General features: G+C 40.7%; 1 protein-coding gene across 1 annotated transcript in view, besides 1 other annotated feature; it reads right to left on the bottom strand.

Moving 5' to 3' along the window:
• Positions 1,010-1,688: an enhancer, noted in NCBI's record as "H3K27ac-H3K4me1 hESC enhancer chr1:207903492-207904170 (GRCh37/hg19 assembly coordinates)". NCBI's record gives its function as "activates a minimal SCP1, AML or CMV promoter by ChIP-STARR-seq in naive H9 embryonic stem cells {active_cell/tissue: H9 hESC(naive)}" and the evidence as "EXISTENCE:reporter gene assay evidence [ECO:0000049][PMID:30033119]".
• Positions 8,132-15,786, bottom strand: part of CR1L (complement C3b/C4b receptor 1 like) — a 78,571-nt gene continuing 70,916 nt past the window's right edge. Inside the window, exons 11-12 of the mRNA NM_175710.2 lie at positions 14,144-14,371; positions 8,132-8,217 (exon numbers count right to left, since the gene is read on the bottom strand). Of these exons, the coding sequence (NP_783641.1) occupies positions 8,150-8,217; positions 14,144-14,371 (296 nt within the window). The 3' untranslated portion in view covers positions 8,132-8,149. The remainder of the gene's footprint in view (positions 8,218-14,143; positions 14,372-15,786) is intronic.

Genomic DNA, 15,786 nt, shown 5'->3' with positions numbered 1-15,786 from the left:
TTTTCACATAGTCCCATATTTCTTGGAGGCTTTGTTCGTTTCTTTTTATTCTTTTTTCTCTAAACTTCCCTTCTCGCTTCATTTCATTCATTTCATCTTCCATTGCTGATACCCTTTCTTCCAGTAGATCGCATCGGCTCCTGAGGCTTCTGCATTCTTCACGTAGTTCTCGAGCCTTGGTTTTCAGCTCCATCAGCTCCTTTAAGCACTTCTCTGTATTGGTTACTCTAGTTATACATTCTTCTAAATTTTTTTCAAAGTTTTCAACTTCTTTGCCTTTGGTTTGAATGTCCTCCCGTAGCTCAGAGTAATTTGATCGTCTGAAGCCTTCTTCTCTCAGCTCGTCAAAGTCATTCTCTGTCCAGCTTTGTTCCATTGCTGGTGAGGAACTGCGTTCCTTTGGAGGAGGAGAGGCGCTCTGCTTTTTAGAGTTTCCAGTTTTTCTGTTCTGTTTTTTCCCCATCTTTGTGGTTTTCTCTACTTTTGGTCTTTGATGATGGTGATGTACAGATGGGTTTTTGGTGTGGATGTCCTTTCTGTTTGTTAGTTTTCCTTCTAACAGACAGGACGCTCAGCTGCAGGTCTGTTGGAGTACCCTGCAGTGTGAGGTGTCAGTGTGCCCCTGTTGGGGGGTGCCTCCCAGTTAGGCTGCTCGGGGGTCAGGGGTCAGGCACCCACTTGAGGAGGCAGTCTGCCCCTTCTCAGATGTCCAGCTGCGTACTGGGAGAACCACTGCTCTCTTCAAAACTGTCAGACAGGGACATTTAAGTCTGCAGAGGTTACTGCTGTCTTTTTGTTTGTCTGTGCCCTGCCCCCAGAAGTGGAGCCTACAGAGGCATGCAGGCCTCCTTGAGCTGTGGTGGGCTCCACCCAGTTCGAGCTTCCTGGCTGCTTTGTTTACCTAAGCAAGCCTGGGCAATGGCGGGCGCCCCTCCCCCAGCCTTGCTGCCGCCTTGCAGTTTGATCTCAGACTGCTGTGCTAGCAGTCAGCGAGACTCCGTGGGCGTAGGACCCTCCGAGCCAGGTGTGGGATATAATCTCGTGGTGCGCCGTTTTTTAAGCCCGTCGGAAAAGCGCAGTATTCGGGTGGGAGTGACTCGACTTTCCAGGTGCCATCCGTCACCCCTTTCTTTGACTAGGAAAGGGAACTCCCTGACCCCTTGCACTTCCCGAGTGAGGCAATGCCTCACCCTGCTTCGGCTCGTGCACGGTGCGCGCACCCACTGACCTGCGCCCACTGTCTGGCACTCCCTAGTGGGATGAACCTGGTACCTCAGATGGAAATGCAGAAATCACCCGTCTTCTGCGTCGCTCACGCTGGGAGCTGTAGACTGGAGCTGTTCCTATTCGGCCATCTTGGCTCCTCCCAGTTTATTTTTAAAATAGTATAGTCAGGAAATGTGAGTTTCAAAGACAGACATTATTTTGGACTAGAGTTGTCTGGGAGAGAGTCTTGGTTGAATGAATTCAGAGATGGGTTAACGGAATTTAGAAACAAAGGTGGAAAAGCACATGAAATCAACACATGTGATATCATTTAAGCAGATGTGCTTATCAAATTCAGTGTTTGTACAATGGACTGAATGTTTGAATCCTTCCAAATTTATATGTTGAAAATTTATAGTATCTAATTACTTCTCAAAGACCCCTTGTGAATGGGACTAGTTCCCTTAGAAAAGAGACCCGCAAGAGCACCCTCACTGCTTTTCTCTGAGGTGAGGACACAAAGAAAAGATTGAAGTCTATTAACTAGAAAGTGAGTCCCACCACACACTGAATTTGCAGTTGCCTTGATCTTGGACGCTCTACCCACCAGAACTATGAGAAATAAATGCTTGGTTTTTAGAAATGAAATAATGTTTTTTAGGGACGGGGTCTTGCCATATTGCCCAGGCTGGCCTTATACTCATGGGCTCAAGCAGTACTCCTCCCTCAGCCTCCCGAGTAGCTGGGACTATAGGTGAGTACCACTGCACCCAGCTTAAATGCTTATTGAATCCACCCAGTCTATGGAGTTTCTGTTATAACTGCCCAAGTATCTATACCAACAGACTGAGACAGTTGGTATATTAGTACAAGGAGCAGCCTTGAAACCTGGAGTAAGCTTAGGACAAGTTAAAGATGCACTGTTTAACTTGGTAGAGAATTAATTAGAGCAGAAATTTCCCCTTGTGGTAACACTCTTAGTAGTGTTTAGCTCACTCATTCATTTGATAAGTATTTATTGAGACTCTCTTTGTTCCGGGGACAGTTTAGATTTGTTATGTATCCATTGGTGAAGACAGGACAAAAATCCCCGACTTCATGGAGGGAGAGAGACAATAAACAAGAAACTTAATTATTTAATTAATTATAATAAACGATAAGTATACAAAAAAATAAAGCAGGATAAGAAAGATTGGGAATGTGGGGGTGGGGGTCATACGAGTCATACCATCTTTACTAGGATCGTTAAAGTAGGCCTCCTTGAGGAGCATTTTAAAGAAGGTGAGATGATTTCTGTGTGTGAATTACTTCTATTTCTGTCTTATTTTAGTTTCTTTTTTCTTTCTTTCTTTCTTTCTTTTTTTTTTTTTTTTTTTTGAGAGGGAATTTTGCTTTTGTTGTCCAGGCTGGAATGCAGTGGCACGATCTTGGCTCACTGCAACCCCGCCTCCCTGGTTCATGTGATTCTCCTGCCTCAGCCTCCTGAGGAGCTGGGATTACATGTGCCCGCCACCATGCCTGGCTAATTTTTTGTATTTTTAGTAGAGATGGGGTTTTATCATGTAGTCCAGGCTGGTCTCCAACTCCGGACCTCAGGTGGTCCACCCGCCTAGGCCTCCCTAAATGCAGGGATTACAGGCCTGAGCCACCGCGCCCAGCCTCATTTTAGTTTCTTAGTAAGTCTTCAGACTGCTTATGCAGTTTCTGAATTGTCTCCAGTGTTTGAGATATACATCAGCCTGCTACTGTCTAGTCCTGGTGTGATTGCGGCTCTCCCATAGAGCAGGCCATCTTGTTCTACACTATTCTATATCTGTCAGTCTTTTTTAGCTCCAGGATAAACGGCTCTTCTTACTTGATGACCACTACGATACTCTCCACTCATATTCTGTGTTTCCCACATGACTTCCTTCTTCTTTGCCATGAGGCCCTTTATGCCCTTCTCTTTCTGTGAGGAAAGCTTGAGCTCCAGATAAGGAATAATTGGCCCTCCTCACATAGCCACAATGACTTAGCTTATTGGCCACACCCACTCAAGGAGGTATGACTGCATGATTAATTAGCCCAACTCCTTCCAAAAGAAGGGACCTCTGCCTTCTGATTATTTAAGTTTATTACTTCTTTTTTCCAATTTTAGCTATATGTTATTTCTAACATGAAAATCAATGGTGTTTTGTTAGAGAAATGCACTCACTATCCTGAAACCACCTTTGCAAAGATTCTGAGAGTGAAAGAAATCTAACGTGACTGACTTCATCTTGCTTCCAGCCTCACAGGTGGGCCGGCTTTGCTCATTCCTGGGTGTAGGCCAAGCTAACCATGAAAGGAATTTAGTTTATAATTTAACTTTGGAGCAAGGATAATAACAGTCTCTTCCTAAAACTAGCTCCCTCCTTGCTCAGGGCCTGAAAGCTAATGAAAGGCCAAAAGATTAGGATTAGGAGAGGGACCTGAACTCTGCTAAAATATAGGCATAGTTCTTATAATTCATTACTGCTCAGGAGTCAGGTGGCCAGAGGTCACAAGATTTGTGACTTCCCTAATTGCTCCTATAGGTAACATCACTATTGTAGAATGTAAGATTGGTCTTCTGAGATGTTTTTCAGATTTTTGCATTTGGCAACTGACTGACTCTACCTGGACCTGTGACTCATGACTCAACTGGTCCTGTGGCCCCCAACCAGAGGTGGACACAGCACATGAGGAACATTTCCCACACCCCCATCCCCAACCAATCAGTAGTACCCATTCCCTAGCTCCCTTCCTACCAAATGATCTATAAAAACCCTAGCCCCTGTGTTCTTGGGGAGACTGAGTTGAGTGATAACTCCAGTTCTTCCACGTGACTGGCCTTGTGTTAATTCATCTCTTTCTTTACTGCAATATACCATGATCTCAGGGAATTGGTTTTGTCTGTATGACAGGCAGGAAGAACACGTCAGACAGTTACAATCCCAAGAAGTGAAACAGGTCAAAAATAAAAGTTTAGAAAATGTTTAAAAATTTTCCTGGATTACACATATAGAATAGGTTTTAGTGTGGGTTACATAGATGTTTGGGAGGTTTACCTCCCTGACCTTTAAGTCTAACGAGGATCATGATCTTTCTTTCTGCCACATTTCTGGTAGCCACTGGTCAGAGAGAGAATGGTTGTGCCATGGACATTACACTTTAAAAGAATATGAAAAAGTAGGCAGGTTTTACGAGATGGAAAATGTGAAGAAATGGTATATGCTCTGAGGTTGCTTAAACTATACAAGATAATCATTTCTAAAGAAATAATTTTATGAAATGGTTATTGAGTCATGTTTATGCCTGAAGATGATTAATATGAGGAAATGATCTTAAATTATGTAGGTGAAACAAATCAATAGTTAGGCTTGGGAATCTGACCCTCTAGTTGATTAACAAGGAATGTGCCATAAGGAATGAAGAATGACATAGTTAGAAGGGTGGAGATACTCAAATATCTTCAACATATTAAAGTATCTTGAATATTTTCAAAAGGAAGAGATAATCATTTCCCTTGTGTAGTTTCAACGAGAGACTGGTATAGATACAGAAAATTAGAAGCCCCAACTTCTTTAATTCAGACTTAGTAAATTAAAAAAAAAAAATTAAGTCATAGGCTGGGCACGGTGGCTCACGCCTGTAATCCCAGCACTTTGGGAGGCCGAGGCGGGTGGATCACAAGGTCAGGAGATCAGACCATCCTGGCTAACACGGTGAAACCCCGTCTCTACTAAAAAAATACAAAAAATTAGCCAGGTGTGGTGGCGGGCGCCTGTAGTCCCAGCTGTGTGGGAGGCTGAGGCAGGAGAATGGCGTGAACCCGGGAGGCGGAGCTTGCAGTGAGCCGAGATGCACCACTGCACTCCAGCCTGGATGACAGAGCGAGACTCGTCTCAAAAAAAAAATAAAAATAACTCACAAATTATAGTGGTACCTAACAAGAAACTTTAAGAGAAAAATGTATTGACACAAGTACTTTGTTAAGGTAAAGTGCCCAGCTACTTATCTTTTCTTTTTGTAATAGAAAAGAGCAAAGAACATCTATATGTCAAGCCATACGATATAGAGAACATTAGTTAGGAAGGATAATGATTTAAATTTAAATGTCAACCAATTCACTATTTTCCCATGAAATTGAGTTCCTGACTAGGTTGTTTACAGCAAGATCTACTATGACAAACTACTTTTTAAAAAGTGTATTGAAATCTCTGTGAAATACGAAAACTTCGATTGCTGTAAAGCTCATTGTAGGAAACTGTACTTGTTTAGAATATTTCCTGTAGAAAACTGTTCACTTAAAAGTTGCAAATTCAGTTTTTTTATTTTTATTTTTTAGACAGAGTCTGCTCTGTTGCCCAGACTGGAGTGCAGTGTTGCGATCTCAGCTCACCACAACCTCCGCCTTCTAGGTTCAAGCGATTCTCCTGCTTCAGCCTCCCGAGTAGCTGGGACTACAGGCACACGCCACCATGCCCAGCTAACTTTTTGTATTTTTAGTAGAGATGGGGGTTTCACTGTGTTGGCCAGGCTGGTCTCGAACTTCTGACCTCATGATCTGCCCACCTCAGCTTCCCAAAATGCTGGGATTACAGGCGTGAGCCACCGAGCCTGGCCCTCAGTTTTTTATGGATATAGAATTTGCTCATCAACCTTATAACATTGATATTATTGATTCTGGCCTCATTGATGTTGTTATATTTCAGTCAACCAGTACAAAAGCTGCGTATGTTCTCTTCCCTGTCAAAGACATTTCTTTACTCAGATCTTAATTTTTGGAATTTTTTTTCAAGTGTAAAAAGTTAATGGTAGCCTGGCATGGTGGCTCATGCCTGCAATCCCAGCACTTTGGGAGGCCAAGGCGGGTGGATCACTTGAGGCCAGGAGTTTGAGACCAGCCTGGCCAACATGGCAAAACTGTCTCTACTAAAAATACAAAAATTAACCTGGCGTAGTGGCACAGGCCTGTAGTCCCAGCTACTCGGGAGGCTGAGGCAGGAGAATCCCTTGAACCCGGGAGGCAGAGGTTTCATTGAGCCAAGATCGCACCACTGCACTCTAGGCTGGGTGACAGAGCAAGACTCTGTCTCAAAAAAAAAAAAAGTTAATTGTAATTACAAAATATTTGTTCATATATTAAAATACCCAATGGAAAGTCTCAGTTCTTCCCCACTGGCAGCCTATGTGTGCCATAAGTGACCCAATCTAACTTCTAGTGCTATGATAGGATCTGGGCTTAGAGGTCAGTATCTGCAATGTCTTAGCAAAACTAGGATATCAAACAGCCTCATGAACAACTTTTTAAAAACCCCTTCTGCCTACTTTCTCTTTCTGTAAAACTCAATTCTTGCTTAAAATGCTATGTGTTTGTGTGTGTGTGCGTGTGTGTGTGTGTTTTGAGATGTAGTCTCACTCTGTCGCCCAGGCTGGAGTGCAACAGCTCAATCTCAGCTTACTACAACCTCTGCCTCCTGGGTTCAAGCAATTCTTGTGCTTCAGCCTCCCAAGCAGCTGACATTACAGGCGTGTGCCACCTCGCCCGGCTAATTTTTTGTATGTTTAGTAGAGACGGGGTTTTACCATGTTGCCCAGGCTGGTCTCGAACTCCTGGCCTCTAGTAATCTGCCCACCTTGGCCTCCCAAAGTGCTGAATTTACAGGCATGAGTCACTGTACCTGGCCAAAATGCTGGTTTTTTGTTATTATTATTATTTTTTAATTGTTCTTAGTATCCTATATACTTCCTTTAGTGTGAATACCTCTTTGTCTATACTGTGTGTCAAGGACCTTCTTTATAAGAATTACCACATCTGTTTATGTAGCAATGGGTTTGTTTGTCTTTTACTTTCTTTTGACTTCCAAGAGGGGGTAAGTACAGTTTACATTTCTTGGGATAATATGGCTATACTTACCTTTTTCTGTGCTTGAAAATTATCCAATAGAGGAAAATGATGATTAAAATAAAGATGATCGTACCAAGTAAAGTGCCTAGGCAGTAAAACAAGGTAATTAAATGCGTGGAAAATATAACTCACAGGTTTTAAATTCTATCTTAGTATCCAGTCCCACTACAGATTGCCAATGCTTTTTTTTTTAAAAGATGTAACTATACATTCTGCTTTACTCTGGGTTTCTATAGCATTAGTCTCACTCCCACAGGGTTATTATAGTTAAGGGGTGAGCTGACCTCTTTTGTAACCTTTAGTCCACCATCAGCCTTTCCACAAGTAAGTGAGAAGTGCGATGGGACAGCTGGCCACTGGCTCTCCATGGCCCTGCCCATGTCTCTCGCCTAAGGCTTAACACACAGGCATTTCACTGTGACAATACTGGAATTTTCTCTCTTGTTGAATTATATATTTACGTCCTTTTGTCCATTTATTGATTGTTAAAGTGCACAGTCTCCACTGATAGGTAGATTGCCTGCTTAGACCCAGGCTACCCCATTCTGTGGTCTTGGGCAAGTTACCTAAACCCTCCGTGTCTCAGTGTCCAGATGTATAAAAAGGGATGTAAGAATACTATGCCATAGAGATTCCCTTGGAAGCAAACTCTATTACAAAACTATTCTTCTTACATAGGCAGATCACAGACATGGGCTCGGAAGACTGGTCTTGTAGCTTTCTATTTGTACAAATGGGCACAATCACCATCTGGAAGCATACTCCAGGTTATAACCCAAAGAAGAAGTTTCATTCTCCCACCACATTCAAATAAATACTTTTTGACACTGTTGAACGATTATGCATTTGTAGTGGTTCAAAGATAGTAAAGAACTTTTGAGGAAGGTTACTCAATAACCTGGCATATGACGATGCCAGTTTCACCATATCCTGGCCTAAACTCATCATAATTTTCTTTCTATTTGAATTTATAACTCAAGATATTTTGATCTCTCTTTCTACATTGCATTCATTATAAGTAGGTACTTACTGTTAAAGATGACAGAATTCCTCAGCAAACACTTCATAAAACTTACCAACTATAAGAGCATCATGTGAACCTAAAAGGAAGACAAAAGTCACAAAAACATCACTCTGGCATGCAACATGATTGAACAGGACTTCTCAGCCAGTGACAATTTATCCTGATTTTTATTCAGGACTCAGACTAATATTTTTTATAAAAAGCCATTGATTTCACTCATATACTCTCATTTTACCTTCTGCACTCAGAGAAGATTTTTTTTTTTTTTTTTTGACAAAGTCTCACTCTGTCGCCAGGCTGGAGTGCAGTGGTGCAACCTCACTGCGACCTCTGCCTCCTGGGTTCAAGGGATTCTCGTGCCTCAGCCTCCTGTGTAGCTGGGAAAACAGGCACGTGCTACCACACCCAGCTAATTTTTGTGTTTTTAGTAGAGACGGGGTTTCACCATGTTGGCCAGGATGGTCTCAATCTCCTGACCTCGTGATCTGCCCGCCTCAGCCTCCCAAAGTGCTGGGAATACAGGCGCGAGCCACTGCCAAGAAGACTTTAAAAATTAATATTTTTCTCGTAAAAGTAATACAATTACAGAAGAAAACTTATAATACAGAACTAAAGAAAAATATCACCCCAAATCCTAGTACCCAAAATGTGTTTTGATACATTCTCTTCTGGTATGTTTTCACATATTTATATACTAGAAATATAAGTTACAACAAAGGCAAACTAATATAATCTAGTAGATGCATCATAGTATATTCAATGACTTCTATTGTGCATTTATTTCTAGTTTTCTTTCTCATGAAACCCTTAATAAAATGCATAAACTATTTTATATTTTACACTATTTTCTTAGGTTGCAGTTCTAGGAGGCTAACTGGCAGAATATTTGTATTATTGTCCACACACATTGCATAATTGTTTTTCATAAGAGATTTTGCCAATTTACAATAGTACCTTCAATATACAACAATATTCGTTACATTACATCCTTACTTTTTATTGGGTGTTCACATAAAAACCTGTTTGTCGTTAATTTAATGGACAATTTAAAAAAAGGGTACTTTATCACACTACCTGACTTCAAACTATACTACAAGGCTACAGTAACCAAAACAGCATGGTACTGGTACCAAAACAGAGATATAGATCAATGGAACAGAACAGAGCCCTCAGAAATAACGCCGCATATCTACAACTATCTGATCTTTGACAAACCTGACAAAAACAAGCAATGGGGAAAGGATTCCCTATTTAATAAATGGTGCTGGGAAAACTGGCTAGCCATATGTAGAAAGCTGAAACTGGATCCCTTCCTCACACCTTATACAAAAATCAATTCAAGGTGGATTAAAGACTTAAACATTAGACCTAAAACCATAAAAACCCTAGAAGAAAACCTAGGCATTACCATTCAGGACATAGGCATAGGCAAGGACTTCATGTCTAAAACACCAAAAGCAACGGCAACAAAAGACAAAATTGACAAATGGGATCTAATTAAACTAAAGAGCTTCTGCACAGCAAAAGAAACTACCATCAGAGTGAACAGGCAACCTACAAAATGGGAGAAAATTTTCGCAACCTACTCATCTGACAAAGGGCTAATATCCAGAATCTACAATGAACTCAAACAAATTTACAAGAAAAAAACAAACAACCCCATCAAAAAGTGGGTGAAGGACATGAACAGACACTTCTCAAAAGAAGACATTTATGCAGCCAAAAAACACATGAAAAAATGCTCATCATCACTGGCCATCAGAGAAATGCAAATCAAAACCACAATGAGATACCATCTCACACCAGTTAGAATGGCAATCATTAAAAAGTCAGGAAACAACAGGTGCTGGAGAGGATGTGGAGAAATAGGAACACTTTTACACTGTTGGTGGGACTGTAAACTAGTTCAACCATTGTGGATGTCAGTGTGGCGATTCCTCAGCGATCTAGAACTGGAAATACCATTTGACCCAGCCATCCCATTACTGGGTATATACCCAAAGGACTATAAATCATGCTGCTATAAAGACACATGCACACGTATGTTTATTGTGGCATTATTCACAATAGCAAAGACTTGGAACCAACCCAAATGTCCAACAATGATAGACTGGATTAAGAAAATGTGGCACATATACACCATGGAATACTATGCAGCCATAAAAAATGATGAGTTCATGTCCTTTGTAGGGACATGGATGAAATTGGAAAACATCATTCTCAGTAAACTATCGCAAGAACGAAAAACCAAACACCGCATATTCTCACTCATAGGTGGGAATTGAACAATGAGATCACATGGACACGGAAGGGGAATATCACACTCTGGGGACTGTGGTGGGGTGGGGGGAGGGGGGAGGGATAGAATTGGGAGATATACCTAATGCTAGATGACGAGTTAGTGGTTGCAGCACACCAGCATGGCACATGTATACATATGTAACTAACCTGCACAATGTGCACATGTATCCTAAAACTTAAAGTATAATAAAAAAAAAGGGTACTTTGTTATTTTTGCATTTCTTTAGTTCTAGTGAGGTTAAACAGTTTCTGTATATTTATGTGCCAAAGTAGAAAGATATTTACACCCTTTCTCTAAATCTTGCATCCTAAGATAGTTTCTGCATTTCCCTGCAGAAACTTTCAAGGCTGTGTTGCATCGAACTATGCAGAACTGAAGAAACTCCATTTACCTTAGAAATGGCATGGAGACTTCTTGTGAACTAAGAAGGTCCAGAAGGTGGGGAGACTATTGAGAGACAGTCTGGGTGGAACTGAGAGAAGCTAGGCTCTAGGAAAGCAGTTGCTTTAATGAATGGGACACTGGGTAATGGAAATGGGTAAAGAGGATTTGGGGACATTTTAATGAGTGTCACATAGTTTAATTTTTCTTTAAGCCTCTCTTAAGATATTCAAGTTGAAACTTCTGTTAGTTTTTACATGTTTTCTGGAGTTGAACTTATTTGTCTAGCATGCAACACCATGCTAATTAGTCTTGAGACAGCGTAAATATGGGTTATATGTATTAATTCTGGCTTTAAAGGGTACCTGGCAATTACCCCTTGCTCTGAGGAAGGTTTTGAAATGAATCAGGCCTCTGATGTAACTGGGCCATTGAAATGGGGAGATAGGGGATCTGAGTATCCCAAGATATTCTTCCTGCTCTGATGCTAGTACTCAAAGGTTCCTTTTTCTCTTTGGATTGCTATTCTGTCTCAAAACCCTCTATGGCATGTCACTCCAAGCCTGGACCACCGCCCCAGGTTAGTTCCTCATCTTCCATTTTAGGAAGGCCTAGGACTGGTATCTTAAGCAATCTATCCCAAGTCTTAGGGAAAAAATACTGGGTTTAATTTTTTCTGTTTCGATAGTCTCTAAGATCATGAAATTTTCTTTGTCTCTTCTCACTACAAAGCAGTAAGATGTCAAAGGCCAAGACTAGATAGGGTAAAGAGACTAGGAACAAGAAGGCAAAGGGGACTGCTTTTAGTCTGAGTCTTAGTTCAGAGAGACAAAAGGAGTTCCTATGTGGTTCAGCCCAATTCACGAGGAGTTTACACTAAGCTCTGAGTTCCAAGAACCTGCTGGTTAATAGTTATTTGGCCCATTCTAATTCTTTGTATGTATCTCCTTCATCCAACTTAAGAATTGCCCATTATCTGGTGTTTGGGACCTTGCCTGATAGCTTTCCATTTCATTATGACAGTACTTAAATATTCTCTCTTGTTGAATTATATATTTAGGTCCGTTGACCATTTATTTATTGTTAAAGAGCACAGTCTCTACAGATAAGTAGATTGCTTGGCTGAACCCAGGCTACCCCATTCTGTGGTCTTGTGCAAGTTACCTAAACCCTCTGTGTCTCAGTTTCTACACCTATAAAATGAGACAATAAGAATACTATCCTCCTCATAGGTTGTTGTGTAATTAAATTAGAAGCTATCTTGTGTGTGTGCGTGTGTGTGTGTGTGTGTTTGAGACAGAGTCTTGTTTGTTGTCCAGGCTGGGGTGCAGTGTTGTGATCTCAGCTCACTGCAGCCTCGACCTCCCAGGCTTGGGATTCTCCCACCTGAGCCTCTCAAGAAGCTGTGACTACAGGCATGCACTACCACGCCCAGCTAATTTTTTTTATTTTTTGTAGAGACAGAGTTTTGCTATACTGCCCAGGCTGCACTTGAACTCCTGGGCTCAAGTGATCGTCTCACTTTAGCCTCCCAAAGTGCTGGTATTACAGACATAAGCCACCATGTCCAGCCTATCTAACAGTGGTACTAAGTATTCATTATATATTAACTTTTACAACTAGTATCACAACCACCACTACTGCTACCTGTAAGATAACACTATTAACCCTTTGCTGTGTTTCCCATATATTTCTCATCTATCTACTGTGTTATTTATTTTTCTTTTTTTTTTTAATGTTTTTTTTTTTTAAATTATACTTTAAGTTTTAGGGTACATGTGCACATTGTGCAGGTTAGTTACATATGTATACATGTGCCATGCTGGTGCGCTGCACCCACTAACGTGTCATCTAGCATTAGGTATATCTCCCGATGCTATCCCTCCCCCCTCCCCCGACCCCACCACAGTCCCCAGAGTGTGATATTCCCCTTCCTGTGTCCATGTGATCTCATTGTTCAATTCCCACCTATGAGTGAGAATATGCGGTGTTTGGTTTTTTGTTCTTGTGATAGTTTACTGAGAATGATGTTTTCCAATTTCATCCATGTCCCTACAAAGGACATGAACTCATCATTTTTTATGGCTGCATAGTATTCCATGGTGTATATGTGCCACATTTTCTTAATCCAGTCTATCATTGTTGGACATTTGGGTTGGTTCCAAGTCTTTGCTATTGTGAATAATGCCGCAATAAACATACGTGTGCATGTGTCTTTATAGCAGCATGATTTATAGTCATTTTTTCAACATACAGAAGTTCTAAGTCCAATTAGCCAACAGGTCAAAAAAGTCAGCACCAGGCTCATGCCTGTAATCCCACACCTTTGGAAAGTCGAGGCAGGTGGATTACCTGAGGTCAGGAGTTAGAGACCAGCCGGGCCAACATTGTGAATCCCTGTCTCTACTAAAAAATACAAAAATTAGCCAGGTGTGGTGGTGGGTGCCTGTAATCCTAGCTACTTGGGAAGCTGAGGCAGGAGAATTGCTCAAACCCAGGAGGCGGGGGTTGCATTGAGCCGAGTTTGTGCCATTACACTCCAGCCTGGGAGACAGTGCAAGACTCCATCTCAAAAGAACACATTAAAAAGTCAACACCTTTTATAATTCAATGCTCTTCTGTCCTTACTGGAGGATGGAGCTTGTGTGGGCAGTCACAGCCACAAATGCATCTACGGTTGTCAAGTACTGTCGTTTAAAGCCAGAGTAATATATCAAAGGAAGGAGCTATGAAGGCTAAGAGTACAGTCTCAGACTCTGCTTCTCCAGGGCCTCCCGAGTTCCCTTTGTTAATGGTGAGGTGAAGGACCAACTAAATATAGTCAGCGGCTTGAACAAACCCTTGGAAACAACATAAAAAGTATAAATCCCTACATCTGAATTTCTTAAATTACTTTTATAGCGTTATCAGTTCTGAAGTAAATTACATCATCATGTACTTTTTGCGCAGCACATCCATCTCTCCAGGATAAAGACAACTCATAGTAGGGGTAGAATAAAAGAGTACATTCTTTAGCATTTGTTTTCAGTACTTTCAAAAATTTCTCTACAAAATCTGGACCTCACCAATTCTCTTCACTGTCCACCCTCTTCTCTCCTTACCATCCCACCCTCCTCACCCCAAAGGCCATCAGAATACCAATAATTGAGACAGTGTGCCTATCTAGAACCCATTTGTCATTCACTTGGGAGGTAGTTCTGTCTCTGACAGTTACAGCAAAGCCATTTTCACAAGCAAAAATGACTGTCACTATAGAAATATGAAGGTTCTCACCTACATATTCTGAACCCATTTAGGATATGTGGAAGCGGATACTGACCAGCACCAACAGGAAGTTCACAGCGAGGGGCAGGGCTGCTCCAAACCCCATTCCCATGAGGTTCACTTGTGCGGCGGATGGTGCTCTCCCCAATGAGGTTGAAGGTCATCCCTCTGTCTGGGTGGGGGTCACATGTGTAAGATACTTCTTTTCCATAGGGAATATCTCCAAGGGGAGTTCCTGTGTGTCTCCCATTAAGGATAGCTGGAGGATTTGGACAAAAGATTTCTAGAAAGAAAACAAGAGCTTTTAAGTTCTATTAGAGTTTCACTTAAGATGACTGAAATATTAGTGACCTGCGACAGTGCTATGAATATAATTTTTTTTCTTTTAGAAAGACTATAACTAAGGTGGATGGAATTTAAATCTGTAAGGCTTTTGTTGAGAGGCAACTAACTGTTGTGAGACCTAAATTACAGTCTATTGCAAAAGCCCAAAGACAGTGTTTTTGGACCATCCAGGTAGCTACGTTCATAATGAATTTGGAAAGTAATTTTTTTTAATTTTTTTACAAACACCCATTTGGTTGTCTACTTTAAATCAGGCATAGTAAGATTCCTGGGTTGACAATGAGGTTCAAGACAGACAAAATTTTGGCCATCAGAGACCATAAGTTCCAAGGAAATCTATGAACTTTAATAGTCATGAACTATCATCTTTAGCAATGTAAATGTTTCTTGGTGATTCAAGACTGTTATCATCAGGACCAATACCAAATTTCCAGTGGTGTCATCAGACTACATTGGTAAGGCTCTTTTTACACAGATTAAATGGTGCCAAAGAGGCTTTTTTTCTTTCTTCCAAATTATTAGCCATCATTTCTTCCTTCTTTTCTTCTGTTTAGAACAGTTCCTTCCCTAAAAGCACTTGATGCTTCTAATTTGATATGAATTTAGGAAGAGATACCCAAGTTTATCGGAATTATGTGTACATAAAAGACTTAGTACATCAAACAATGATTAACTTCTCATGCTTGAATTTTACTTGTGTTTTTCCTAAGTTTATTTATATATTTATTTTCAGCTCTATGTGTCTCTGTAAGGGTTGAGTTTGTTGGATACTTGAGTTTCCTCAGGTATTGAATGTTCTTCACCATAATACTCACCATAAAATATCCAAATTGATTTCTGTAAGTTATTTTAACACAATGCAAATTAAAGTAAACATTTTCCAATAAGAAAAAAAAGGTTTAAAAAAATCATGCCTTGCTTTAATAGACAGAATAGGGTAAATCAGTAATGTCTTAGTATGTCAAATATGTACTTTTATCTGAGTTTCTGAATTCTTTCTGAATTTTGGGATATTTTATTTAAGCGGATGGTTTGGAAATTTAGGACACCTCATCATTTCAGACACTGATTCGTCATCCCGGCTCCTTCCACTGTACACTGTACTAATTTATCATATAACTCTGTTTTATTTTCTCCATAACATCCCTATTTAACTACCATTTTATATATTATAATTTTTAGAATTTTGTTTTCTTATTTTATTGTTTTTAGTCTTCTTCCCAACAAGAAAATATACTCCAGGAAAGTAGGGAGGTGGCTTCACTATTCTTTTACTCTTCATTGCATTTTCTACACATGGAAAGTCCTAGCACATGGGAAGCCCTATGTCATTCAATACTGCAGGCTAAAAAA

Source organism: Homo sapiens, chromosome 1 (genome assembly GCF_000001405.40).
Source record: "Homo sapiens chromosome 1, GRCh38.p14 Primary Assembly".
NCBI classification, from domain to species: Eukaryota; Metazoa; Chordata; class Mammalia; order Primates; family Hominidae; genus Homo; species Homo sapiens.
This window is presented reverse-complemented; position numbering and strand designations above follow the sequence as displayed.